Source organism: Homo sapiens, chromosome 1 (assembly GCF_000001405.40).
Source record: "Homo sapiens chromosome 1, GRCh38.p14 Primary Assembly".
Taxonomy (NCBI): domain Eukaryota; kingdom Metazoa; phylum Chordata; class Mammalia; order Primates; family Hominidae; genus Homo; species Homo sapiens.
This window is the reverse complement of record NC_000001.11, coordinates 36484922-36512104: the sequence shown is the minus strand read 5'-3', so window position 1 is coordinate 36512104 and position 27183 is coordinate 36484922. Positions and strand designations below refer to the sequence as shown.

Sequence of the window (27183 nt, the reverse complement as noted above, 5' to 3'; positions counted from 1 at the left end):
GGACAAGCCTGGGCATTGTAGGCAAGCAATCCACCTCAACCCATGGGCTTTGACTCTCACAGATGAGAAATGTAAGGACTCATCCTCTGTGGCTCACTCCCTCAAAGAGTTTCTCACGTGGGCCTCTGCCTTTAGAAGTCGGGTTTTGGCTGGGCGCGGTGACTCATGCCTGCAATCCCAGCACTTTGGGAGGCTGAGAATGGGAGGATCGTTTCAGCCAGGAGTTCAAGACCAGCCTGCGCCACATAAGGAGACCCCGTCTCCACAAAAAATAAAATAAAAATAAAAATAAAAATTCCCTGTAAGTTTTTGGGATCCAGGTGGTGTCTGGTTACGTAAGTTCTTTAGTGGTGATTTGTGAGATGTTGGTGCACCCATCACCCAGGCAGTGTACACTGCACCCTATTCATAGTCTTTTATCCCTCGCCCCTCCCACTCTTCCCCCCAAGTCCGTTGTATCCTTCTTATGCCTTTGGGTCCTCATAGCTTAGCTCCCACATATCAGTGAGGACATACGATGTTTAGTTTTCCATTCCTTTTTAAAATTTAGCCAGGTGTGGTGGCATGTGCCTATGATCCCAGCTGGGGAGGCTGAGGCAGGAGGATCATTTGAGCCCAGGAGGTCAAGGCTGCAGTGAGCCGTGATTGTGCCACTGCACTCCAGCCTGGGCAACAGAGCAAGACCCTGTCTTAAAAAAAAAAAAAAAAAAGAGGAAGTCAGGCTTCTTCCCATTTGTGCTTGACATTCTCTGCCACCTGGGAACAGAAAAACTGAGGCTGAACTCACTGGAGTTCTGTCCCTCTTTAGATGGTCAAAGTCATCTTGTGGGGCTCATAAGGTCAAAGGATGGTATTTGGGGGCATCTCCATTGTTCCCACCACCCTTGGCACAGTTTCTCATTGTGTGACTTTGTCTGCCCCAGTGCCCACAATGACATGGCAGTGCACCTAAGGAGGGTCCTGAGCCTTCTAGCAGGGCCCCTGTCCCTCCTCCCTTTGATCCGCACACTGAGAACAGATGGGAGCACGAGGGGGTCTGGCAGCTCTGAGCAGCTGCTGTCTGACCACTCCTGAAACTCTCGCTCTTTCTTTTTTTTTTTTTTTTTTTTTTTTTGAGACAGAGTTTCTCTCTTCTTGCCCAGGCTGGAGTGCAAATGGCACGATCTTGGCTCATGGCAATCTCCACCTCCCAGGTTCAAGCAATTCTCCTGCCTCAGCCTCCTGAGTAGCTGGGATTACAAGCATCCTCTATCACACCCGGCTAATTTTTGTATTTTTAGTAGAGACAGGGTTTCACCATGTTGGCCAGGCTAGTCTCAAACTCCTGACCACAGGTGATCCACCCACCTCGGCCTCCCAAAGTGCAGGGATTACAGGCATGAGCCACCGTGCCCAGCCAACTCTCACTCTTTCAAGAGCCCCATTTACCCTGGGGATTCCATAAGTGGCCTGTGAATGAGTCCAGCAGGACAGAGCGGTGGCGCCCCCATTCCCGAGCCTACACTGACATGTTTGACAGCCCAGGAGCTTGCTGGACCTAAGAACCCTCAGTTCCAGTATGCCCGTGAAGTGAGTGGAACCATCACCCTTCCATCCTTCTAGTCCTCACTTGAGTGGAATCCACGCTGTCTGCATGTGTCAAGTCCCTGCTGCTTAAGCTCTTTGGCCTCCCTAGAGGACAGCCTGGCAGGACTCGCCAGGCACTCATACCCTAAGGGTATCAGCGGCCACTTGGCAGGGTGGCTGGAGGGGAGGATCACTGTATCCATCACAGGTGCCACAGTTGGGCTGTTAGGGCACCTGAGGATCCCGAGGGCCATCCAAATGACCATGAATGTGCACATCTTGCCACCACCCCTTCTCCTGCCCATAGTGTCCCCTGCATGGAACCATCCTCCTTGCTTCCTTCAAGCTGGGCTTTTGATCACTAGAAGATGGGCAGGCAGTGGGGATGGCATTATTCATGTTGTGCTGGTGGCAGGGAATCAACTAACGAGAATCATGTCTGGGAGGGAGTAGAGACGTGCAAACTCTCCACTGGAACTAGCTTGTGGCAGGAGGTACTAGCCACTTAGTGAATTGCAGGGCTCTATGTGAGGTGTGTCAGGCTATTGGCCCCATAAACCTACCCAGGAATCTGTTAAATGGGAAGCCATGAAAAATGAACTACAAACTCTTCCCTGTTGAGGTGGTGATACAGTCTGGCTGTGTCTCCACCAAAATCTCATCTTAAGTTGTAGCTCTCATAATTCCCACGTGTTGTGGGAGGGACCCAGTGGGAGATAACTGAATCGTGGAGGCAGTTTCTCCCATACTGTTCAACGGTAGTAAGTCTCTGGGCTGGGCGCAGTGGCTCACGCCTGTAATCCCAGCACTTTGGGAGGCCGAGGTGGGCAGATCACGAGGTCAAGAGATCGAGACCATCCTGGCTAACACGATGAAACCCCATCTCTACTAAAAGCACAAAAAAAAAATTTGGCCGGGTGCAGTGGCTCACGCCTGTAATCCCAGCACTTTGGGAGGCCGAGGCGGGTGGATCACGAGGTCAGGGGATCGAGACCATGGTGAAACCCCATCTCTACTAAAAATACAAAAAAAAATTAGCCGGGCACGGTGGCAGGCGCCTGTAGTCCCAGCTACTCAGGAGGCTGAGGGAGGAGAATGGCATGAACCCGGGAGGTGGAGCTTGCAGTGAGCCAAGATCGTGCCACTGCACTCCAGCCTGGGCGACAGAGCAAGACTCCGTCTTAAAAAAAAAAAAAAGTCTCACGAGATCTGATGATTTTATAAGGGGAAACCCCTTTCGCTTGGCTCTCATTCTGTCTCTGCCTGCTGCCATGTAAGACGTGCCTTTTGCCTTCCACCATGATTGTGAAGCCTCCCCAGCCAGGTGGAACTGTGAGTCCATTAAATCTCTTTTTCTTTATAAATTACCCAGTCTTGGGTATGTCTTTATCAGCAGTGTGAAAACTGACTAATGCAGGTGGTCCACCTAAAAAGGGTGATTTCATTTCTGGCTGATAGAGGAAGTTTTGTTGTATTAATTCATAGTTGTTCCAGTGGAGACACCACTGCACCAAGACCTCCCTCAGAGGAATTATTCCTCTTGACTTCTCTCCTCATACGGAGAGATGTTTGTGGGGAATATTGAGGCTATTTTCTTTTTTACCCTTCAACTCCTAGTCTGTTGCTTGTCTTTTAACTTTGTTTATGGTGTTATTTGTCTTATTGAAGATTTTTATTTTTATGAGGTCAAACCTGAAAGTACTTTCCTTTATGGCTTCTGAGTTTGTGCCTTGCTTAGAAAGGCCTTCTCCATCCCAAGAAAACATTTTTCAAGAAGCATCACTCCAGTTCCAGGGGAGGCCACCTGGACCCTGTCTAGGGCAGACAGGCTACCAAGATGCTGCAGGGGGCTCCCCCGGGACATTCTGGAGGCTGATGGAACATCTCAGTGGCCTAGAAATAATGACAGTGATTGTAGCAAAATGTGCGCTCTTCTTTTCAAAAAACTTTTTATTATGGAAAATTCCAGACAGCAGGGTAACAGAGGACTCTGAGCTCCTATGTTATCCCTGCCCCCACAATTCTCTGGGCAGGTGAAGTCCTCCTCATGTTACACACCCTGCCCCACGCTCCCCCTCACTGTCTTTCTGCAGTGCAGTGGCTCACACTGCTCAGATCCACTCTGACACCCAGCTCTTTTTCTTCTCCCCTGTGTCTTGCCCTGGAGCGCCCAATCTCTGCCCCAGCAAGGACCTCTCTGATGGTTTTGTTCCCCCACATGTCACCTGTTAGAAAAATTCTGCCTTCTCAGTACCAGGCTTGGGCCCAAAGGGACTCCTAATCCCATTCTCGATTTCTCAGAGTTACTCCACCACCCCCCACCACTCCCACCCCACCAGGCTGCCAGTCAGAGGAGTGTCCCATGCTGGTCTTCCTGGTTTCTCTAGATCCCCATCCACCATCAGACCATGAAGAGCTTGCAGCCATGGGGAGCCATTGGAAGGTCTGGGGCATGGGACTGAGCCCCTCCGCTGGGGCACTGGCAATAGGGGAGGGACTGTTGAAACAGGAGCAGAATGATGTAGGCCTCGCTCTCTCTGTCAGTCCTCAACTTGCCCTCCCCAATACCAGCAATCTTTCTAAATGAACCCCTACCAAATGGGGTTCACAGTCCTCCATCTCAGTGCTCAGCAGGTTCGAAGGGCACCTACTCTGGGCCACACATTCAGGGAGCAGGGACCACACCCCAAACTGCCCCTGAAACAAATCACCTACCCCATCACCACAGCTTTTTTGTCCCCTCTGAGCCTGGCGTGGACCACTCCCCTCTGTTCTACTGCCCCACATCCTCTCCCACCTGTACCAGAAGCCTTCCTTCAAAAAGCCAGCTTTGCTTAGCTGCCCGTCTCCTCCAAATCCTGAGGGCACCTAGGGACTCAGCCTATGGTGTCTGTTGCTTGGTCCCTCCAGAGACTGCCTTGGGTTGCCCAGTGAGACTGCAGACTGCCCTCAAGGGCAGTGACTGCCTTCTACCTTTCCATGTACCTGTCCCCCCAAGTCCATCCCCTCCACCACCCCCACATATCTTGGCCACACCACTGAAAGAGCCGTTGGTGCAGCTGTAGCAAAATCAAAAACCAAACCCAAGGCCAGATGAGGAGTGACTGACTCTCCATTATCCACCCCCAGCAAGAAACAGTGGCCCAGCCAGGAGTTCCAGGAGGGCTGAAGGGCACAGGCTGGGAGGGGCAACTCACTCCAAATGCCCACTCCCCACACCCTGTCTAGCAGGAGCTCTGGACTTTCTCTCTGCCTCCCCTTCCCCTCCCTCCCCTGCCCCATGAGGTCAGCACCTGTGACCCCTGATTCCTCCCCTTCCGTGCCCAGAAATGGCTCTTGCCTAAGTCACCTGCTCCTCACCAAAGGCTTTCTCTTTGTCTTTAACATCCTTTGCTTCACTTCAGAATTCTAAGAACTCATTTTATAAAGGTACTGAGGCCCAGAGGGGGCTGCAACTAGTTACTTGCTCCCTGGTACATTAGCTGAAGGGCTGGGGCTCCACCAGACACTTGCACACAAGCCCTAAGTGAGTGAAAGGCAGAGCTAGGATTTGCACACAGTCATTCTGGCTCCAGAGCTGCAGCTCTCAATAGTATCCTACATGGCTTCCATTGACCATGCTGTTGTCATAATTTTGAAAAATATGTATGCTTCATCTTTTTCCCAAAAGGACATGAAATGGCATTATAATAGGAAAGATTCGTTCATTCAATGGATTCTTATTGCTCAAGAGAAAAAATAGCAATCTTAAGGGTTGCCATAGATGCTGTGATTAATCTGGAAATTTGGACTTGAGCTTCCTGGCAGCCGGGGCAAAAACTGAAACACTCTTACTATCAGAAAAGAGGAAGCAGATCAGTTCCTCCACAGGGACAAATATTTCCAGGAACAAATTCTGAAAGAGGCTTCTCACATGGGGCTTCATATCGGGACATGGTGTGACATCATAAAATCTTCTAAATCTTCTAAACAATTTGACAAAAAGAACAGATGGAGAATTTTCAGTGTAAGCACAGGGTAGGCACTGTGTCAGGCGAGCTTGGAGATAACAGACTCAGGGACCCCAGCATATGGACTGCCTGTTGGCTAGAGCTCAGAAAAGCTAGAATTTTCTCTACATGTTTCAGCTCTTGGCTAGATTTTATCTTTTGAGAATAGACAACTGTAGTTGGTCTTCTGACAGCTTTCAAAATACTTCCAGGGGCGGGGTGGGGGCTGCAGAACCCCAGGCTATGGAAACTAGAAATGCTCCAAGAAGGGTAGTTCTGTTTGGAAAAGTGAGATGTCATGTACACATTCACTTATCAGATCTCTATTAAGGGTCCCTTTGTGCCAGGTGTTGCACTGGGTGGAATGGAGACCAGTGAAATAAATAACACAGAATTCTGGCCAGGCGCAGTGGCTCACGCCTGGAATCCCTGCACTTTGGGAGGCCGAGGTGGGTGGATCACCTGTGGTCAGGAGTTTGAGACCAGCCTGGCCAACATGGTGAAACCTGGTCTCTACTAAAAATACAAAAATTAGCAAGGCGTGGTGGCATGTGTCTGTAATCCTGGCTACTCGGGAGGCTGAGGTGGGAAAATCACTTGAACCCAGGGAGGCGGAGGTTGTAGTGAGCTGAGACTGCGCCATTGCACTCCAGCCTAGGTGACAAGAGTGAAACTCCATCTCAACAAATAAAATAAAAAATAACAGGGCTCCTAACCTCAAATAATTCAATCCTTAACAGGAAAAAAAAAACATATTTTTTGAGCAGCTACTATGTGTCAGGCATCGAGCTGAGTGCTTCGCATCTAGTATCTCATTTATTGTTTCTTTTTTTTGGGCGGGGGACAGAGTCTCTCTCTGCCGTCCAGGCTGCAGTGCTGTGGTACAATCTCGGCTCACTGCAACCTCCACCTCCCAGGCTCAAGCAATTCTCATGCCTCAGCCTCCTGAGTAGCTGGGATTACAGGTGTGCACCACCACACCCGGCTAATTTTTGTATTTTTAGTAAGAGATGGGGTTTCACCATGTTGGCCAGGCTGGTCTTGAGCTCCTGAGTGCAAATGATCTGCCCTCCTCGGCCTCCCAAAGTGCTTGGATTACAGGAGTCAGCCATCATGCCCAGCCCTATTTAATATTTCTAACAATCCTATATAATAAGCACTATTATTGCTACCCACAACATAGCACCAGGCAGCAAACAAAGCCTCTCTGAAGGATAGCATCCCCAACTTAGGCACTCAAGATTGCCAAAGAATATACAGTTATCCCTTGGTATCCATGGGGAATTGGTTCCAGGACCTCTACAGATACCAAAATCTGTGGATATTCACGTCCCTTATCTTAAGTGACAGTGGGGTAGGCATGGTGGCTTATGCCTGTAATCCTAGCATTTTGGGAGGCCGAGGTGAAAGGATGATTGGGCTCAGGGGCTCCAGACTAGACTGGACAACATCGTGAGACCCCCATCTCTAAAAAGAAATTAGACCAGGCGCAGTGGCTCATGCCTGTAATCCCAACACTTTGGGAGGCCGAGGCGGGTGGATCAGGAGGTCAGGAGATCAAGACCATCCTGGCTAACATGGTGAAACCCCGTCTCTACTAAAAATACAAAATAAATAAATACATACATACATACATAAGAAGAAATTTAAAATTAGCTGGATGTGGTGGTGTGCACCTGTGCCCCTGTAGTCCCAGCTACTTGGGAGGCTGATGTGGGAGGATCACTTGAGCCTGGGAGGTGGAGGCTACAGTGAGCAACTGTATTGTGTCACTGCACTCCAGCATGGGAGACAGAGTGAGAGTCTGTCTCAAAACAGAACAAAACACCATAGTATTTGCATATAACATACACACACCCTCTCATATACTTTAAATTATCTCTAGGTTACTTATAATACCTAATACAATGCATACACATCACTTTGTTCTAATGGATTCAAAATAGTACTTGGCACACAGGAAAATAGTACTTGGCACACAGCAAGTTCAAGTTTTGCTTTTTGGAACTTAGCGGAATTTTTTTTCCAAGTATTTTCCATCCTCGATGGGTTAAATCCAAGATGCAGAACCCACAGATACAGAGGACCAACTATACATATAAATCCACAATTAAAAAAAAAATCACCAAACACACAAGAGGCAATTGTTAGCAGAAATAACATACAGTAGATATAGATCCCTAAGGATAACAGAAATTGTAATTATCATAATTACAGTAAATGAAATAACTATAATTGAAGATTTTAAAGAAATAAAAAATGAAATCACAAAAGTGATCAAATCACAAGAGATAATTTTTAAAAATAGATCTGGAAAAGAACAGCAGAGAACTTTTAGAAATGAAATAACTTGTTGAAACCAAAAATTCAACAAATGGGTTAAACAGCATATTAGACACAGTTGATGAGACAGAGTGAGCTGGAAGATTAATCTGAAGACATTACACAATTTTCAGCACAGAGACAAGCAAATGGACAATATGAAAGACAGGTTAAAAGCAATAGCAGGTAGAATAAAAGTCCCAGAAAGAGGATAGAGAGAGAAAGAGGGAGAGGCAATATTTGAAGAGATAATGGCTGAGAACTTTCCAGAACTGATGAAAGGCATGACTTCACAGACACTGGGAACGTAACATACATCTAACAACATAAATAAAAGGAAATTCACAGCTAATCACAGTGTGGAGAAACTGCATAACACCAAAGACAGAGATCTTAAAAGCAGCCACACAGAAAAGACATGCCACCCACAAAGGAAGGATAATTAAATGACAGCACACCTCTCAAAAGCAACAGTGAAAGCCAGAAGACAGGGACGAGCTTCAAAGTTCTGGGAGAAAATAACTGTCAACCTAGAATTGTGAACTTAGCAAAACCATCTTCCAAAGCTGACGGTGAAATGGAAACATCTGGATTTTTTTCAGAGAAAGAAAAGCAAAAAGCATTTACCAACAACAAATCTTTACTGAAGAATATGCTACAAGAAAAAGGGAAATTACCCCAGAAGGAAGGACTGGTATGCACAAAAGAATAGTAAGCAAAGAAATTGATAAACAAATAAATCTATACAAATATTATATAAAATAATGACAACAGACGGGAACAGTAAGGAAATAATTCAAAAACTGCACCAAAAAGAGAGTATGTAAACCTGTAGGGGAAGATCACAGCCAAAGGGTTCAAAGTTCAGTCTATTATTTAGGAAGGTGGTTGAGAAACTCATAATCTGAGATTTCTTTAGGTATGCAGGATAGAATTTCAAAAGCAATCAATAGAATCTATCTATTTCAACAGAAATATAGAAGCAATCTATCTATTTCAATAGAAATATACAAGTAGGGTATATAAATTCCAAATCAATAAAGGAGGTAGAAAAGCATAGAGTAAGAAAATAAACAAACTCAATAAATCCAAAGGAAGAACCAGTAGGAAGAGAAAGAATAGGGGGAGGGGGAATAGGATAAGAAAGATAACAAAAATAACTCGAGATGTATCTATAATCACAATAAACTAAAAGTCTATGTGTGCTATTTAAAATACATATTGTTAGATTGGATTTTTTAGAATCCAGCTCTATGCTGCATATGGTGGCATATCTAAAACACTGAAACATAAGGAGATAGATTGAAAGACCACACAAACACTAATCAAAAGAAAGCTGGAGGCCGAATGCAGTGGCTTACACTTGTAATCTCAGCACTTTGGGAGGATGAGGTGGGAGAATTGCTTGAGGCCAGGAGTTTGAGGTCAGCCTGGGCAACATAGCAAGACCCCCATCTCTACAATAAAAAATAATTAGCAGGCATGGTGGTGTGTGTCTATAGTTCCACCTACTCAGGAGGCTGAGGTGGAAGGGTTATTTGAGCCAAGGAGTTTGAGGCTGCAGTAAGCCATGATCACACCACTGCACTCCAGCCTGGGTGACAGAGCGAGCGAGATCCTGTCTCTAAAAAAAATTTACGACATTTTTTAAAAAAGAAAGCTGGGAGAGCTACACTAAAATCAGAAGAAAAACAGACTTTAAGATGCAAAGCATCTTAAAAGGGATAGAAAAGTTAGCTTTTTCTGGAAGACACAATTCTTAATCTACATGTAAAGTAGCCTCAAAAATTATAAATCAGCAGTTGATGAGACTGCAGGGAAAATACAAAACCCACCCTCATGGAGAGAGATTTGAAGACTCACGTCTCCATAACTGGCAGGTCAAGCAGACAGAAAATTAGTCAAGCAGGATTTGAATAATATATAGCAAGCAAGGTGGAATGGAAGTTTATGGAACGCTGCATCTAGAGACTAAACTTCTCAAGCACACATTTTTTTTAATTTTTTTAATTTTTTTTTTCTCAGAGACAGAGTCTCATTATGTCGCTCAGGCTGGAGTACAGTGGCACAATCATAGATCGCTGTAACCTTGAACTCTTGGGCTCAAGCAATCCTCCCACCTCAGCCTCTCCAGTGGCTGGGACTACAGGCACATACCACCATGCCCAGCTAATTTTTTTTTAGAGACAGGGTCTCACTATGTTTTTGTTTTTGTTTTTGTTTTTGTTTTTGTTTTTGTTTTTGTTTTTGAGACTGAGTCTCCCTCTGTCGCCCAGGCTGGAGTGCAATGGTGTGATCTCAGCTCACTGCAACCTCCGCCTTCTGGGTTCAAGCAATTCTCCCGCCTCAGCCTCCCGGATAGCTGGGATTACAGGCACGCACCACCACGCCCGGCTCATTTTCATATTTTTAGTAGAGACGGGGTTTCAGCAGACTGGTCTTGAACTCCTGACCTCGTGATTCGCCCACCTCAGCCTCCCAAAGAGCTGAGATTACAGGCATGAGCCACCATGCCTGGCCAGGGTCTCACTATGTTGCCCAGGCTGGTCTCAAACTCCTGGTCTCATGGGATTCTCCCACCTCTGCTTCCCAAAATACTGAGATTATAAAAATTATTTTAATTGACCATGTACTAGGTTATCAAGCAAGACTCAATTCCAAAGAATCATCATCACACACATCATTTTCTCTAACTGTGCTGCATTTAAATTAGAACTCAGTGAGAAACAGATAAATTTAAAATTCACATACATTTGAAAACTTTAAAGCTTTCTTCTGAGTAATTCATAAGTCAAAGAAATAACTATATATTTTAAGGCACTTAAAGCAGAATGATAATGGAAACAGTGCTAATCGGCCAGACACGGTGACTCATGCCTATAATCCAGCACTCTGGAAGGCTGAGGTGGGCAGATCACCTGAGGTCGGGAGTTCGAGACCAGCCTGACCAACGTGGAGAAAACCTGTCTCTACTAAAAATACAAAATTAGCTGGGCATGGTGGTGGGCACCTGTAATCCCAGCTACTCAGGAGGCTGAGACAAGAGAATCGCTTGAACCAGGGAGGCAGAGGTTGCGGTGAGCCGAGATCACGCCATTGCACTCCAGCCTGGGCAACCAGAGTGAAACTCCGTCTCAAAAGAAAAAAAAAAAAAAAGAAAGAGAGAAAGAAAACAGTGCTTATCGAAACAGAGAGAGCCAAAGCAGCACTTCTAACAAAATATAGAGCCTTGAAAGTTTAGCCCAAAAATTAATAAATGAAGCCCCAACTTAAGAGCTTATAAAAAGAACCATAAAATAAGTCCACAGGAAGTAATAATAAAACTAAGAAGAAAAATTAATTACATCAAAGTGAAGGTGCAGTAAAAAAAAAAAAAAATGTACACACACAACAAAGTCAAAAATTGGTTTCTCAAAAAGGCTAATAAAAGACAGACCTCTGGCAAGATTGATGGAAAATAAAAGAGAGAAGTCACCAAAAATTCTTATTAAAAAATTTTGAGGCAACATATTTACAGATACAGAAGATACTAGAAAGATAGAAAGTGAAATACTGTGATCAACTGTGTATCAAGGCACAGATCATTCCAACTTAAAAAGCCCTTACAGAGAATAGAAAAAGACAGAGCACTCCCCAGCCCCTTCCATGAGGACAGTACAACCTAGATTCCAAAATCTAACAAAGAGAGTGTGAGAAAGGAAAAATTACAGGCCAATTTCACTCAATAGCATAGACACCAAAGTCTTAAACAAGATAATATCAACTTGAATCCACCAGTACATAAAAATGACAATATTTTATGGCTAAGTTGGGTGTATCCTAGAACTGCAAGGAAGTTTCAATATTATAAAGCTATAAATGTACTCATCACATTAACAGACTACATGAGAAACACTACATTATTTTTTCTTTTTAAAAAATTTTTAAATGTTTTATTGTAAATTGACAACTTATAATGGTATATATTTATGGAGTACAAACTGATATTATGATTTATAAATATAATGTGGAATAATTAAATCAAGCTAATTAACATATCTATCACCTTAAATACATATCATTTATTGTAGTGAGAACATTGAAAATTTACTCTCTTAGCAATTTTGAAATGTGCAATACATTATTAACTGTCATTTTAATAGATGAAGAAGTATTTTATATGATTTAACCTTCATGATTTTTTTTTTAAAACTCCTGGAAAACTAAGAATAGAAGGAAAATGTCTTTTTTTTTTTGAGACAGTGCCTCACTCTGTCACCCAGCTGGAGTGCAGTGGCGTGATCACAGCTCACTGCAACCTCCATCTCCTGGGCTCCAGCAATCCCCCTGACTCAGCCTCCAGAGTGGGGGCTGGGACTACAGGCACACACCACCACACCCATCTAATTTTTTTATTTTTAGTAGAGATGAGGCCTTGCTGTATTGGCTAGGCTGGTCTTGAACTCCTGAACTCAAGCTATCCTCCCACCTCAACCTCCCAAACTGCTGGGATTACAGGCATGAGCCACCATGCCCAGCTTGAAAACTTTATTCTTAATGGGAAACATTATCATTCCCTTTAAAATAACGAAAAGGCAAAGATGCTCACCACTGCTGCTTCTCTTCAAAGCCAGACTGGTAGTTCTAGCCAATGCAGTGAAACTAAAAAAAAAAAAAATGAAATAAAACATATAAAGGTTGGAAGGGAAAAAATGTGCATCATTCATGGATTCTATGTTTATTTACCTAGAAAACCCCAAAATCAGGCCAGGCGTGATGGCTCATGCCTATAATCCTAGCACTTTGGGAGGCCGAGGCAGGCGGATCATCTGAGGTCAGGAGTTCGAGACTAGCCTGGCCAACATGATGAAACCCCATCTCTACTAAAAATACAAAAATTAGCCAGACATGGTGGTGGGCGCCTGTAATCCCAGCTACTTGGAAGGTTGAGGCAGGAGAATTGGTTGAACCTGGGAGGCAGAGGTTGCAGTGAGCCAATTTCGTGCCACTGCACTCCAGCCTGGGCAACAAAGCGAGACTCCATCTCAAAAAAAAAAAGAAAGAAAGAAATAGAAAAACCCCAAAATCTACAAATAAAATGTTAGAATAAGAGATTTAACAAAGTCGCTAGATTTTAAAAACAATATATAAGAGGAAAGGAGAAAAATACCTTTAGTTAAAGCAATTATATTTAAGAGATGCATTTTAAAAATACATATCATCTACAATTTCAACAAAAAATAAGGTAACCAGGAATAAAGCTAACAAAAGATATGTGAGACCTGGATGGAAAGAATTATAAACGTTAAAGACACAGCTGGGTGCAATATCTCCTGCCTGTAATCCCAGCACTTTGGGACGACAAAGAGGGTGGATCACTTGAGCTCAGGAGTTGGAGACCAGCCTGGGCAACATAGCGAGACCTCATCTCTAAGCTGCAGTGAGCTGTGATTATGCCACTACACTCCAGCCTGGGCGACAGAGCAAACCCCATCTCAAAAAAAGAAAAAATAAATAGAGACAATAAATAATAACTTTTAAAAATCCTTCATGAATAAGGAGACTCAGTATTTGGATATATCTATTTCCTCTAAATTGATCTATAAAATCAATGCAACTCCAATCAAAATCACAACAGAATTTGTGTGGATCCTGACAAGCTAATTCTAAAATACCTTAGGGAGAGCAAAGGCACAAGAATAGGCAAAACTGGGGAGAAAAACAAGGTGGGATAGCATGCCCTATCAGATATCAAGACTTATAAATGTAATGTAATTGAGACAGAATGAGATTGACACAGGGATGATGAAGTAGACCAATGGAATAGAATGAAGAGCCTCAAAATGAGCCACAAATATATGGAAATGTGATATATGACACAGAGGTAGCACTGCAGATCACTGGGGAAGGGAAGAGCTATTCAATAAATGAATTGTTCAATATCTACACAGAAAAGCATAAAATCGAATCCATTCACCAAATCATAAGTGATATCTATTCCAGGTGGATTCAAAACAAACAGGAAAGGCAAAACTTTTAAACTCATAAAAGAAAATATAGAAGAATATCTTTATGACCTCAGAATAGGAAAGGCTTTCTTCAACAAGATAAAAAGTACCAACCATAAAGAATATATTCATAAACTCAATTACATTAAAACTAAGCAATTTTCTCTGTCAAGACATAATAAAGAAAATGAAAAGGCAAGCCACCAACTGGGAGTAGTTATTTGCAACATACACAGCTGACAGCCCAGCTGAAAACATGAGCAAAAGACATGAACAAGAGCATTTCTCAGAAGCGGGACACAAAAGACCAATCAACACATGAAAAGAAGATCAACTTCATTAATAATCTGAAAACTGCAAATTACGACAACACGAGATACAATTTTACACCCAATAAGTTGGCAAAATGAAGAAGGCGCTGACACCACCAATGGTTGGTAAAGATCCGGATCAATAGGAACTTTTATACCCTGCTTGGTGGGAACATAAATAAGCATAAACAAACATCTTGGAAAACAAGATGATACCATTTGTAAGTCTGAACATTTGATATTCTACTTGCCCAGCAATTCTTCTTCTAAAGAAACTCATGAACTTATGACACCAGAAAAAAATGTACAAGAATGTCCCCAGTAACAAAAAATGAAAACCATCCCAACAGGCATTAACAGAAAATGGGTAAAACTATATTTTGGTATAGGTACACAGTGAACCATACAGGGAAGAAATGTGAGTAAGCTTCAATTACCCATCACAAGATGGCAGAAATGTAAGTCAGAATGAAAAAATGCAAGTTGCAAAACACTACGTACAGAATGATAGCATTTTTATAAAGTTCAAAACCAAATGTGATAATTATATGTTGCAATAGAAATGGAATGATAAACACAATCCATTGTTGTTGTCTCTGGGAGTGAGGAGACAGGGAAGTACAATAGGAAGGAGTTTACGAGTGGATGAAAAGATACAAGTGACATTCTAGAACTATGCTTTCCAATATGATAGCATTAGCCACATGTAGACATTTTGACTTAAATTTACATTAATTGGCCAGGTACGGTGACTCACATGTGTAATCCCAGCACTTGGGGAGGCCAAGGTGGGAGGATCACTTGAGTCAAGGAGTTCAAGACCAGTCTGGGCAACAGGGTGAAACCTCATCTCTACAAAAAATACAAAAATTAGCTGGGCATGGTGGCACATGCCTGTAGTCCCAGCTACTACAGGCTGAGGTAGGAGGATCAATTGAGCCTGAGAGGTCAAGGCTGCAGTGAGCCATGATGGCGCCACTACCCTCCAGCCTGGAGGACAGAGCTCAACCCTGTCTCAAAAAAAATAATTAATTAGTCAATTAATTAATCTAAATTAATTAAAATTAAATACAATTTAAAATTCAGGGCCAGGCATGGTGGCCCATGCCTATAATCCCAGCACTTTGGAAGGCCAAGGCAGGAAGATTGCTTGAGCTCAGGAGTTCAAGACCAGCCTGGACAAGACAGTGAGACCCCCGTCTCTATTTTATAAATATAAAAAAATTTTTTTTAATTTTTTAAACAATTAAAAAAATAAAACTCAGTTCCTCAGACACACTAGTACATTTCAAATGCTAATCACATGTGGCTAGTGGCTACCGTATCGGACAGCACAGATTTATAGAATATTTCCATCACACAGAAAGTTCTACTGGACAGCTCTGCTCTAGACCAGAGGTTGGCAAACTTTTTTGTAAAGGGTCAGGTGGTAAATGATTTAGTTTTATGGAACATAAGGTCTCTGTCACAGCTACTCAACTCTGCAGCTTTGTACCTCCAAAACAGCCATAAACAAGGTGTAAATGAATGGATGTGACTGTGCCACAATACCAGGCAGTGGGCTGGATTTAGCCTGCAGACCGTAGTTTCTTGACCTTGTTCTAGATCTTAAGTTTGGTGATTGGTTGACAGATGACCATTTTATTATTACATTTCATCGTTTTCAAGCATTCTTACATATCAAATGTTACATAATACATTTTAAAATCTATATCTAGGACAATCTGAATAAGATCTGAAATCTGAATAAAATCCGTAGATCAGCTAGTAATATTGTAGCAGTGGTAACTTCTGTACTGTGGTCATATGTAAGATGATGTCCTTGTTTTTTAGGAAACACGCAATGGAAGAACTTGGAGTAAAGGAAGATCACACATACAACTTACTCTCAAACAGTTCAGAAAAAAACAGTTCACAGTGTATACCTGTGAACGCGTGTATACACACACACAGAAAGAGAGAAAGCAAATTTGATGCAATGTTGGTAACATTTTAAGGATTTGGGTGAGGGGTATACAGGAGTTTTCTCCCACTAGTCTTGCAATTTTTTTGTTGTTGTTGTTGAGACGGAGTCTTGCTCTGTCGCCCAGGCTGGAGTGCAGTGGCACGATCTCAGCTCACTGCAAGCTCCGCCTCCTGGGTTCACGCCATTCTCCTGCCTCAGCCTCCCGAGTAGCTGGGACTACAGGCGCCCACCACCATGCCTGGCTAATTTTTTATATTTTTTGGTAGAGACAGGGTTTCACCATGTTAGCCAGGATGGTCTCAATCTCCTGACCTCGTGATCCACCCGCCTCAGCCTCCCAAAGTGCTGGGATTACAGGCATGAGCCACTGCACCCAGCCCTTGCAAATTTTATATAAACCTCAGTTATGTCAAAATTAAGCACTTAAAATCATATGTGTATATAGTTATATACACTTATGGTAAGGTTAAAAATTGCAATTAGAATTTTACAATGGTGTATATACATCATTTGTCAATAAAAAGTTTACCTTAAGAATCCAATCCAGGCCAGGCAAGATGGTTCACACCTGTAATCCCAGCACTTTGGGAGGCCAAGGTAGGAGGATTGCTTGAGTCCAGGAGTTTAAGACCAGCCTGGGGAACATGGCCAGACCCCATCTCTCCAAAAAAAAATTTTTTTAATTTAGCCAAGCTTGGTGGTGTGTGCCTGAGGTCCCAGCTACTCAGGAGTCTGAGGTGGGAGGATCACTTGAGCCAGGGAGGTCGAAGCTACAAGGAACCATGTTTGTGCCACTGCACCCCAGCCTAGGTGACAGGATGAGACCCAGTCCAAAAAGAAATAATCCAACCCGTGAAGCTCTGCTGGGCGGGGAGATGGATGGACAGGACTGCACAAATCCTGGAGCACAGGTAAGAGAATCTTCAGTGAATTAATGCCGGGATCCCGAGGGGGAGAGAAAGGAAGGGAAGTGAGGAGGAGGTGATAGATGAGGAAATAGAGGGAGCAGAGCCTGGAGGCCTCTCCGAGTTTAGAGAGCAGGAGCTGTGGGGGTGAGGGGGTGAGAGATGGACGGAGGGAGGCCCATGGACAAAGAGGAGGTGTTGGAGTGGAAGGTTCTAGAGGTTGAGCAGATCCAGGTGATGGCAAGGTCCATGATGTAAACAAGATATTGGGTGTCTAAAATGGAAAAGCCCTTAGAGATAACCCAGTCAAGGAATTGAAAACCAGTGGGTCAGCACAGCACACTTGTGGCCAGTAAAGTTCCCCCAGATGGTGGCAGGATGGGAGTAGAGAGAAAGACTGTGAGGGGCTACTCATGTCAAGAGACAGAAGCCAACCGGGTGCCATGGCTCACGCCTGTAATCCTAGCCCTCTGGGAGGCCGAGACGGGTGGATCACCTGAGGTAAGGAGTTTGAGACCAGCCTGGCCAACATGGTGAAACCCCATCTCTACCAAAAATACAAAAATTAGCCAGGCATGGTGGCAGGCACCTGTAATCCCAGCTACTCGGGAGGCTGAGGCAGGAGAATCACTTGAGCCCGGGAGGCGGAGGTAGCAGTGAGATGAGATCGTGCCACTGCACTCCAGCCTTGGTGACAAGAGCAAAACTCCATCTGAAAAAAAAAAGACAGAAGCCAAGTAACTGGAGGCCAGCAGGAGGGTGATGGGGAGTCGTAGAAGGTGGTGCAGCTTCATAGAGCAAGAGCCTTAAATGAGGATACTGGAGTCACATCTGCATGTAACACATCTGGAATCAAGAGGAAATCCAACCACATTTCTGGATCCTGTCATTTCTGGTTCCTGGAGTTTGGGAGAAGGAGCTGCCTCCATTCATAAGGGCTGCAGGGTGATAGTGTGGTATCCTTAGGGATGGCAGGCATTCAGAGGTCCTGTGAGAAAGTTTGCTTGCCACAGACCATTACAGCCTGGGGTTTTATTTACACACTACCCTAAGGTCCAAGTGCAGGGCCTGATTGGTAGTAGGTGCTCAAAATTTTTTACTGGATTAATGACTGAATGGGTGGATAGGTGAGTGCATGGGTGGTGGCTGGATGAATGAATGGATGAGTATGATGGGTAAATGGATGGATGGATAAGTGGTGGGTGGACGGATAGACTTATGGACAGATGGATGCATGGATAATAAATGGATGAATTAGTGGGTGAATGGATGGATGGTAGGGTGGATAGATATACGGATGGACAGATGGATGCGTAGATGATGGATGGATGACTGAGTTGATAGTTAGATGGTTGGATGGAAGGATGGATGGACGGACGGACGGACAGATGGATGGACAGACAGATGGACAGACAGACGGACGGATGGATGGATGGGTAGGTGCATAGATGAATGAATGGGTAAGTAGATGGGTGAATAAATGGGTGAGTGAGAGGGTGAATAGAAAGAAGAGCTCATGGGGCACGGGAGTGGGTAAATAAATAAGTGCATGAATTGAATAAACTGGACATTCCAGGAAACATAGAATAGCCTGGGAGGTCAGAGATGTGATAGAGATAACACATCCAGCCTCACCTCAGCAGTCTAGACCACTCATAAGAACAGTATAACCACAAGGAGGCTGCAAAAGCCACCATCCCTCTACTCCCTTGTGCCCCCCAACCTAGAGGCTTATCTATGGGCAGGAGCCCCCATCTGTGTCCCCTGGTTCCAGGCTGCAATGGCAGAGGACATGGGACCAAAGGAGCAGACTGGCTACCTCTGGAAACTCCTCTTCCTTCTCAGGATCCAGGTCAGACTCCCCAGGAAGCAGGGGAGAATGCTGGCCTTAGGCTCTGATCCCAGAATCTCTGAACCTGCCTTTGCCTCTCTCTGTCCTTACACAGGTCATTTGACTTCTCTTGGCCACTCTTCCTGGCAAGAATTTTAGGAAAAATGGCCCTGTCTTCTCCCTTCCACCTGCCCACCCCAGTGCTGTGGGGACATAAACCAGCTGCCCGATGGGAAAGGGGGCCTCAGACCCCAGAAAGATGGGTCCAGCTCCCTCACCCAAGGAAGCCCACTAATAGGGCAGTAACTGGCCTGGCCTAGGGACTCTTTCCCGCACCCATCCCCATCCTCCTGCCACAGGGTTGTAGAGGGAATAGGTTTCCTCTGAGCCAAGATAAGCATACGAGCTTCATCTCCCTTCAGTCTCTGATTCCGCATCACCCCGACCACCAGGACCATGCCCCTCCCCAGCCATACCACGGCAGGCCAGGCCCGGAGAGCAGAGATAAGGCCCTCCTGACCAGAAGACCACAAGCAGGGGATAAGAGGGAGGGGAAGTCTTCTCTTCTGCCCACTCAAAGCTAGAATTCTGCTTCCTTCCCCAGAGGCAGGCCCCGGGAGAGCATCTGGGCAGCCATCCCAGCCTCTCTGCAGCCTGGGGAGAGAGGCTGGGGTGTTTTGCCCACCAGTATTCGGTATCAACGACGTCCTAATTAATTCATTTCTCATTTTGGGGCACCAATCAAAGGAAGGAAATCCTGCTCAGCTGAGCACCAGGGAAGCAGGAGAATGCAGTGCTGGCTGCCACATGTTGGAAGAGACCTCCAGATCTCTCAGTAGGTAACTGGATGGCCACAGGGGCCCCAAGGCCTGAAAATCCAGGTCCAACATCCAAACTGTACAGCAACCTTTCATGGACACCTCCTCCATGCCAGACCTCATGTTGGGTACTGAGGTAACGGATCCATCCCAGGCTTCACAGAGCATCTCGGAGCAACGCCTAATGCAGCCTGGGAAATCTGGGAAGCCTTCACAGAAGAGGTGACATGCCAGCTGGATTTTGAGGGATGAAAGAGATTTCTTCAGACATAGAAATAAGGGAAGGACATTCTGAAGCAGAGGGAAACTATGAGAAGAGGCCTGGAGCCATGAAAAAAGCAGCACATGATTAGACGATGATAGTAACTGGAATGGTTGAAGTGTCAGGTTCATGAAGAGGAAGAGGGCCAGGCGCGGTAGCTCAGACCCGTAATCCCAGCACTTTGGGAGGCCAAGGCGGGCAGATCACGAGGTCAGGAGATCGAGACCATCCTGGCTAACACGGTGAAGCCCCATCCCTTCTAAAAATACAAAAAATTAGCCGGATGTGGTGGCACATGCCTGTAGTCCCAGCTACTTAGGAGGCTGAGGCAGGAGAATCGCTTGAACCCGGGAGGTGGAAGTTGCAATGAGCCGAGATTGCACCTCTGCACTCCAGCCTGGGCAACAGAGCAAGACTCTGTCTCCAAAAAATAAATAAATAAATACAAAACTACCAGGGCGTGGTAGCACATGCCTGTAATCCCAGCTACTCGGGAGGCTGAGGCAGGAGAATCGCTTGAACTCAGGAAGCAGAGGTTGCAGTGAACCGAGACTGAGCCATTGCACTCCAGCCTGGGCAACAAGAACGAAACTCTGTCTCAAAAAAAATAAAAAATTAATTAATTTTTTTAAAAATGAAGAAGAGGAGTTGGGAAAGGGAGTATCAAGAGATGAGGCTCTTGGATCTACCCAGATAATCCAAGATAATCTCCTCATCCCAACATCCTTAAGCTTAATCACATTTTCAAAGTTCTTTTGACATGTAAGGTGACATATTCACAGGTTCCAGGGATTAGGACCTGGACAAAAAAGAGAGAGAGATGAGGCTGCAGGGTGAGGAAGGATTCAGGGTCTGGTTTTGAAGGGCCTCAGAGGACATGAGGAAGACTTAGAAGTTTAGCCTATGGACAGCGAGGAACCAATGGATGGATGATTTTCTTTTTTTTTTTTTTTGAAGGAGTTTCGCTTTTGTCGCCCACACTGGAGTGCAGTGGCACAGTCTCAGCTCACTGCAACCTAAATACAACAGAAATTCCCTATAATTCCCAAGGACAGGCCATAGTTGAAAGAACTAATAGAACACTCAAAACTCAATTAGTTAAACAGAAAGAAGGGGAAGACAGTAAGGAGTGTACCACTCCTCAGATGCAACTTAATCTAGCCCTCTATACTTTAAATTTTTTAAACATTTATAGAAATCAGACTACTACTTCTGCAGAACAACATCTTACTAAAAAGAAGAGCCCATATGAAGGAAAACTGATTTGGTGGAAAGACAACAAAAATAAGACATGGGAAATAGGGAAGGTGGTAACGTAAGGGAGAGGTTTTGCTTGTGTTTCACCAGGAGAAAATCAGCTTCCTGTTTGGATACCCACTAGACATTTGAAGTTCTACAATGAACCCATTGGAGATGCAAAGAAAAGCGCCTCCACGGAGACGGAGACACTGCAATCAAGCACCATCAACTCACAAGATGAACAGAATGGTGATGTCAGAAGAACAGATGAAGTTGCCATCCACCAAGAAGGTGGAGGCGCCGACTTGGGCACAATTAAAGAAGCTGACACAGTTAACTAAAAAAAAAAAAGCCTAGAGAACACAAAGGTGACACAAACTCCAGAGAACATGCTGCTTGCAGCTTTGATGATTGTATCAACTGTGGTAAGTCTCCCCATGCCTGCAGGAGCAGCTGCAGCTAATTATACCTACTGGGCCTATGTGCCTTTCCCGCCCTTAATTCAGGCAGTCACATGGATGGATAATCCTGATGGGAGATAGGCTCATGAGCCTAGAACATCGTTTCCAGTTACAGTGTGACTGGGATACATCAGATTTTTGTATTACACCCCGAGTTTATAATGAGTCTGAGCATCACTGGGACATGGTTAGACGCCATCTGCAGGGAAGAGAAGATAATCCCACTTTAGACATTTCCAAATTAAAAGAACAAATTTTCGAAGCATCAAAAGCCCATTTAAATTTGGTACCAGGAACTGAGGTAATCGCGGGAGTTGCTGATGGCCTCACAAATCTTAACCCTGTCACGTGGGTTAAGACCATCGGAAGTACTACTATTGTAAATTTCATATTAATCCTTCCCCAGAGGCAGGCCCCAGTCTGCAGGTGTACCCAGCAGCTCCGAAGAGACAGCGACCATCGAGAACAAGCCATGATGACAATGGTGTTTTTGTCTAAAAGAAAAGGGGAAAATGTTGGGAAAAGAAAGAGAGATCAGACTGTTACTGTGTCTATGTAGAAAGAGGTAGACATAACAGACTCCATTTTGTTCTGTACTAAGAAAAATTCTTCTGCCTTGAGATGCTGTTAATCTGTAACCCTACCCCCAACCCTGTGCTCACAGAAACATGTGCTGTGTCGACTCAAGGTTTAATGGATTTAGGGCTATGCAGGATGCACTTTGTTAAACAAATGCTTGAAGGCAGCATGCTTGTTAAAAGTCATCACCACTCCCTAATCTCAAGTACCCAGGGACACAAAACACTGCAGAAGGCCACAGTGACCTCTGCCTAGGAAAGCCAGGTATTGTCCAAGGGTTCTCCCCATGTGATAGTCTGAAATATGGCCTCGTGGGAAGGGAAAGACCTGAGCGTCCCCCAGCCCGACACCTGTAAAGGGTCTGTGCTGAGGAGGATTAGTAAAAGAGGAAGGCCTCTTTGCAGTTGAGATAAGAGGAAGACATCTGTCTCCTGCTCCTCCCTGGGCAATGGAATGTCTCGGTGTAAAACCCGATTGTATGTTCCATCTACTGAGATAGGAGAAAACCGCCTTAAGGCTGGAGGTGAGACATGCTGGTGGCAATACTGCTCTTTAATGCATTGAGATGTTTATGTATGTGCACATCAAAGCTCAGCACCTTTTTCTTAACCTTATTTATGATACAGAGACATTTGTTCACATGTTTTCCTGCTGACCCTCTCCCCACTATTACCCTACTGTCCTGCCACAACCCCCTCTCAGAGATGGTAGAGATAATGATCAATAAATACTGAGGGAACTCAGAGACCCGTGCCTTCGCGGGTCCTCTGGAGCACCAGTCCCCTGGGCCCACTTTTCCTTCTCTATACTTTGTTTCTGTGTCTCTCTCTTTTGTCAGTCCGATGAGAAACACCCACAGGTGTGGAGGGGCAGGCCACCCCTTCAGGGTCTGGTTTTGAAGGGCCTCAAAGGACATGAGGAAGACTTAGAAATTTAGCCCATGGACAGCGAGGAACCAATGGATGGATGCCTTTTTTTTTTATTTTTTGAAGGAGTTTTGCTTTTGTCACCCACACTGGAGTGCAGTGGCATGGTCTCAGCTCACTGCAACCTCCACCTCCCGGGTTCAAGTGACTCTCCTGCCTCAGCCTCCCGAATAGCTGGGATTACGGGTGCCCACCACCACGCCTGGCTAATTTTTGTATTTTTAGTAGAGATGGGGTTTCACCATGTTGGCCAGGCTGGTCTCGAACTCCTGACCTCAGGTGATCCACCTGCCTTGGCCTCCCAAAGTGCTGGGATTACAGGCATGAGCCACAGCGTCCAGCCAATTTTCTGTTGGGTGGTGACATACTGGAATTCACAATTTGGAAGAAGCACTCCAGCTAAGTATAGCAAGGGTGTATCCCAGGAATGAAGGCAGGGAGACCAGGAGGAAGCCGAGACGTCATCCAAGGAGACAACAATGATGGACTGGCTTCCTGCAGGGGCCATAAGGTGGGAGAGAAGGGACAAATCGCACTGGAAGGAGCGACAGACTGGATGTAGGGGGTGACCAGCAGGGAGGTGTTCAGGACCAGTTTAAGTTTCTGGATTCACCAGGACAGAAAAGCAGGTTTTTAGGAGAAAACATGGAGGAGCTCAGCTGGGAGGCGTGTTTAGTTTTGATGTGTGTGGAGCTTCAAGGGGAGCTGGGGGTCTGAGAGGCAGGACTATGAGGTGCTACTCAGGGTCATGCAGCATCAATATCATCTGTGGGTCTAGAATGCAGGCCTTCCCTCCCCACCACCACCACCACCGTCATTCCCAGGCCTGGGCCACCTTCTACCTCTGTTATGGCACCCATTCCAGCCTCCATGTCTTTGTTCTCACTGTTCCCCTGCCCAGCATACCTCCCCTCTTCCATACAAGTCCCACCCATCTGTTCAGTTCCCACCTCAACCAAGTGGTTAGAGCAAAGGTCCGAGGTCAGAGGTGGATGGGGCCTGAAAGAGTGGTGGTGAGTGTGGCAGAAAATGCAGAAGCCTTATTTAGAGCCCAGCTCAGCCTCAAAATGGCTGTGGGACATGAGCAGGTCACGTTCCCTCTCTGGGCCTCAGCTTCCCAACCTTTCAGGGATGAATAAGGAAAGATCCTTGAAGTTACAGATCTGGAAAGCGCCATAAGGTAAAACATCATCAGGACACTGAAGGTATACCACAGGACACACTCTACAAATGAGGAGAAAGCTTATGAAAAAAGACTTAGTGGCCCAGTGCGGTGGCTCACGCCTATAATCCCAACACTTTGGGAGGCCGAGCAGGCGGATTGCCTAAGGACAGGAGTTCGAGACCAGCCTGGCCACCATGGTGAAACCCTTTCTCTACTAAATATACAAAAATTAGCCAGGTATGGTGGCAGGCGCCTGTAATCCCAGCTACTTGGGAGGCTAAGACAGGAGAATCGCATGAACCTGGGAGGAGGAGGTTGCAGTGAGCCAACATCGCGCCACTGCACTCCAGCCTGGGCAAGAAGAATGAAACTCTGTCTCAAAAAAAAAAAAAAGAAAAGAAAAAGAAAAAAAGACTTAGTGGCATTTTCTCTGAGCCTTGAAGAATGAGTAGAATTTCAGCAAGTTGAGGTGGAGGTGAGGGAGGGCACTCGAGGCAGAGAGAACAGCCTGAGCAAAGGCCAGGAGGCGGAAAGTTCAGGGTGGGTTCAGGGAAGAAGGAGTGTCCAGTTTCTTTCTAAGTCAACAGCTCAAGGGCTTTTTGTAAGTGGGCTGTCCAAGCGGAGCAGCCTCCAGTAAACACCTGTTTGCACAATCGAGGTCACACACAGGGGCGCGTTTGCACAATGACCTGTTTGCACAATCTTAGCTGCCTGCTGTATTCCAGCCAACCCCGGCCCTGGCAGCTGAGCACCACAGCCTCAACTTCCGGGCACTCACCCCAGCTTGCCCACCTGGACCCCGCCCCGGCCCCTCTGAAACAAGCTGCTCCTTGACCTACCCAGAAGCCCCACACATCACAGGCAGTAACAGAAACAGAAACAACTCGGGGCTCAGTAGCTAGGCTGCCAAGAATAGGGTTCCCTCACCAGCACTCCCTTACCCAGGGTTTCCAACACACAGAGGCCTTGTCTGATGGAGGAGGGGCGGGAGGCAGGACAGCTGGAAGAGGAAGTATCCACAAAGCCGACACTGGGTGCGGGTAGAGGGGATGACTCCTCGTCTGTCTTGTGCTCTTCAGTGCACCATAGTAAACACTTATTAAGCATTTACTGTGTTCCTGGCTGTGTTCCACAAGCCTTACGGTCACTGATTTCTCTCAAGAATCCTATGAAGCCAATACTGTTAGCCCCATTTTACAGATGACAAAACCGAGGCTTAAAGAGATTAAACATTTGTTTGGAGTCACACAGGCAGCAAGTGGCAAATTGAAGCAGCCTGACTCCTCAGCTCATCATCTTAACCTCAGTACACTCTAAAGAAAGCTCTTCCTTAAATCTAACTTTCATTTCCTTAAATCTAACTTTTATTCTGGCTGCTGCAGCTCCATTTCCTGGTGCAGGTCCTCAACAGAGAATGGAGCACAAAGGAGAATAGTAGAATCTCCCTCCTAAATATTGAATTATGCAGAAGGGAACAAAGGAAAGCAACTTTATTGAACACCTACTATGCGCTGGTTACCATACTAGGCATTGTATTTCTGATAGCTAATTTAATTATCACAAAATCCCTGGGAGGAGTTATTATCACTGTGACAGATTAGGAAACAGAGGCTTGGAAGAGGTAAACACCATCTCCAAGGTTCTGCAGCCCAACAGATATGCATTGAGTATCCTCTGTGTGTCCGGCACTGTACTGAGGCTAGAGAGGCAGAGGTGAGAATACAGTTTCTGCCCTCAAAGAGTTCACAGTATAATGGAGGAGGCAGGCGGCCAACAGCCTACTACAGTATTACAGGATGAATGGGGAGAAGGGCCCCTAATTCAGCTTGACTAAGGTGTGGAAGCCCAGAGGGATGCTGAGCTCAGGCTGGATGCTTGAACTGGGTCAGGAACAGGACTCAGCCAGCAGGAGGTGACAGGCGCTCCGCAGAAGAAAGGCACAGGGTTGTTCCAGAGCCTGGGGCAGGCAGGGAAATACTAGTGAATTTGGCATGACCGGAGCATGACGGGCTGGATCTGAGGAAGCAGGGGCTGGTGAGGCAGGAGAGGGAGGCGAGGGTAACTTGCATGTCCGGTTCAGGAGTTAGGATGTGACGACGGGCCTCTGAAGAAAGACAGGGAGAGGAGAAGGATTGCAGGGCCATTGGCAAGGCTGAGACGGGAGCTCCATAAAGGCAGGAACTAAAACTGTGTCTCACCATTGTGTCCCTGCACCTGCTCCAGGAGCAAGTTCTCTGAATGATGAACAAAAGGCCCATTCTCCTTCATTAAGAACTGACTGGGGCCAGGCGCGGTGACTCATGCCTGTAATCCCAACACTTCGGGAAGCCGAGGCAGGCAGATCACTTGAGGCTAGGAGTTCGAGACCAGCCTGGCCAACATGGCAAAACCCTGTCTCTACTAAAAATACAAAAAAATTAGTCGGGCGTGGTGGTGCGTGCCTGTAGTCCCAGCTACTCAGAAGGCTGAGGCAGGAGAATCACTTGAACCTGGGAGGCAGAGGTTGCAGTGAGCCGAGATCGCGCCACTGCACTCTAGCCTGGGTGGCAGAGCGAGACTCCATCTCAAAAAAAAAGAATGAAAATAAAAATAAAAAATAAATTTAAAATGACCAGAAGGCCAGGTGCGGTGGTTCACGCCTATAAAACCAGCACTTTGGGAGGCTGAGGTGGGCGGATCACTTGAGGTCAGCAGTTCAAGACCAGCCTGGCCAACATGGTGAAACCCAATCTCTACTGAAAATACAAAAATTAGCCAGGCATGATGGCAGGCATTTGTAATTCCAGCTACTTGGGAGGCTGAGGCAGGAGAATCACTTGAACCTGGGAGTCAGAGGTTGCAGTGATCCAAAATCGC

The 27183-nt window shown here is 45.7% G+C and overlaps 1 annotated feature.

Annotated features, from left to right (window-relative positions):
* Positions 19183-19477: a silencer, noted in NCBI's record as "tiled region #4345; K562 Repressive DNase matched - State 5:Enh". NCBI's record gives its function as "represses a minimal TATA promoter and a strong SV40 promoter by Sharpr-MPRA in K562 cells {active_cell/tissue: K562}" and the evidence as "EXISTENCE:reporter gene assay evidence [ECO:0000049][PMID:27701403]".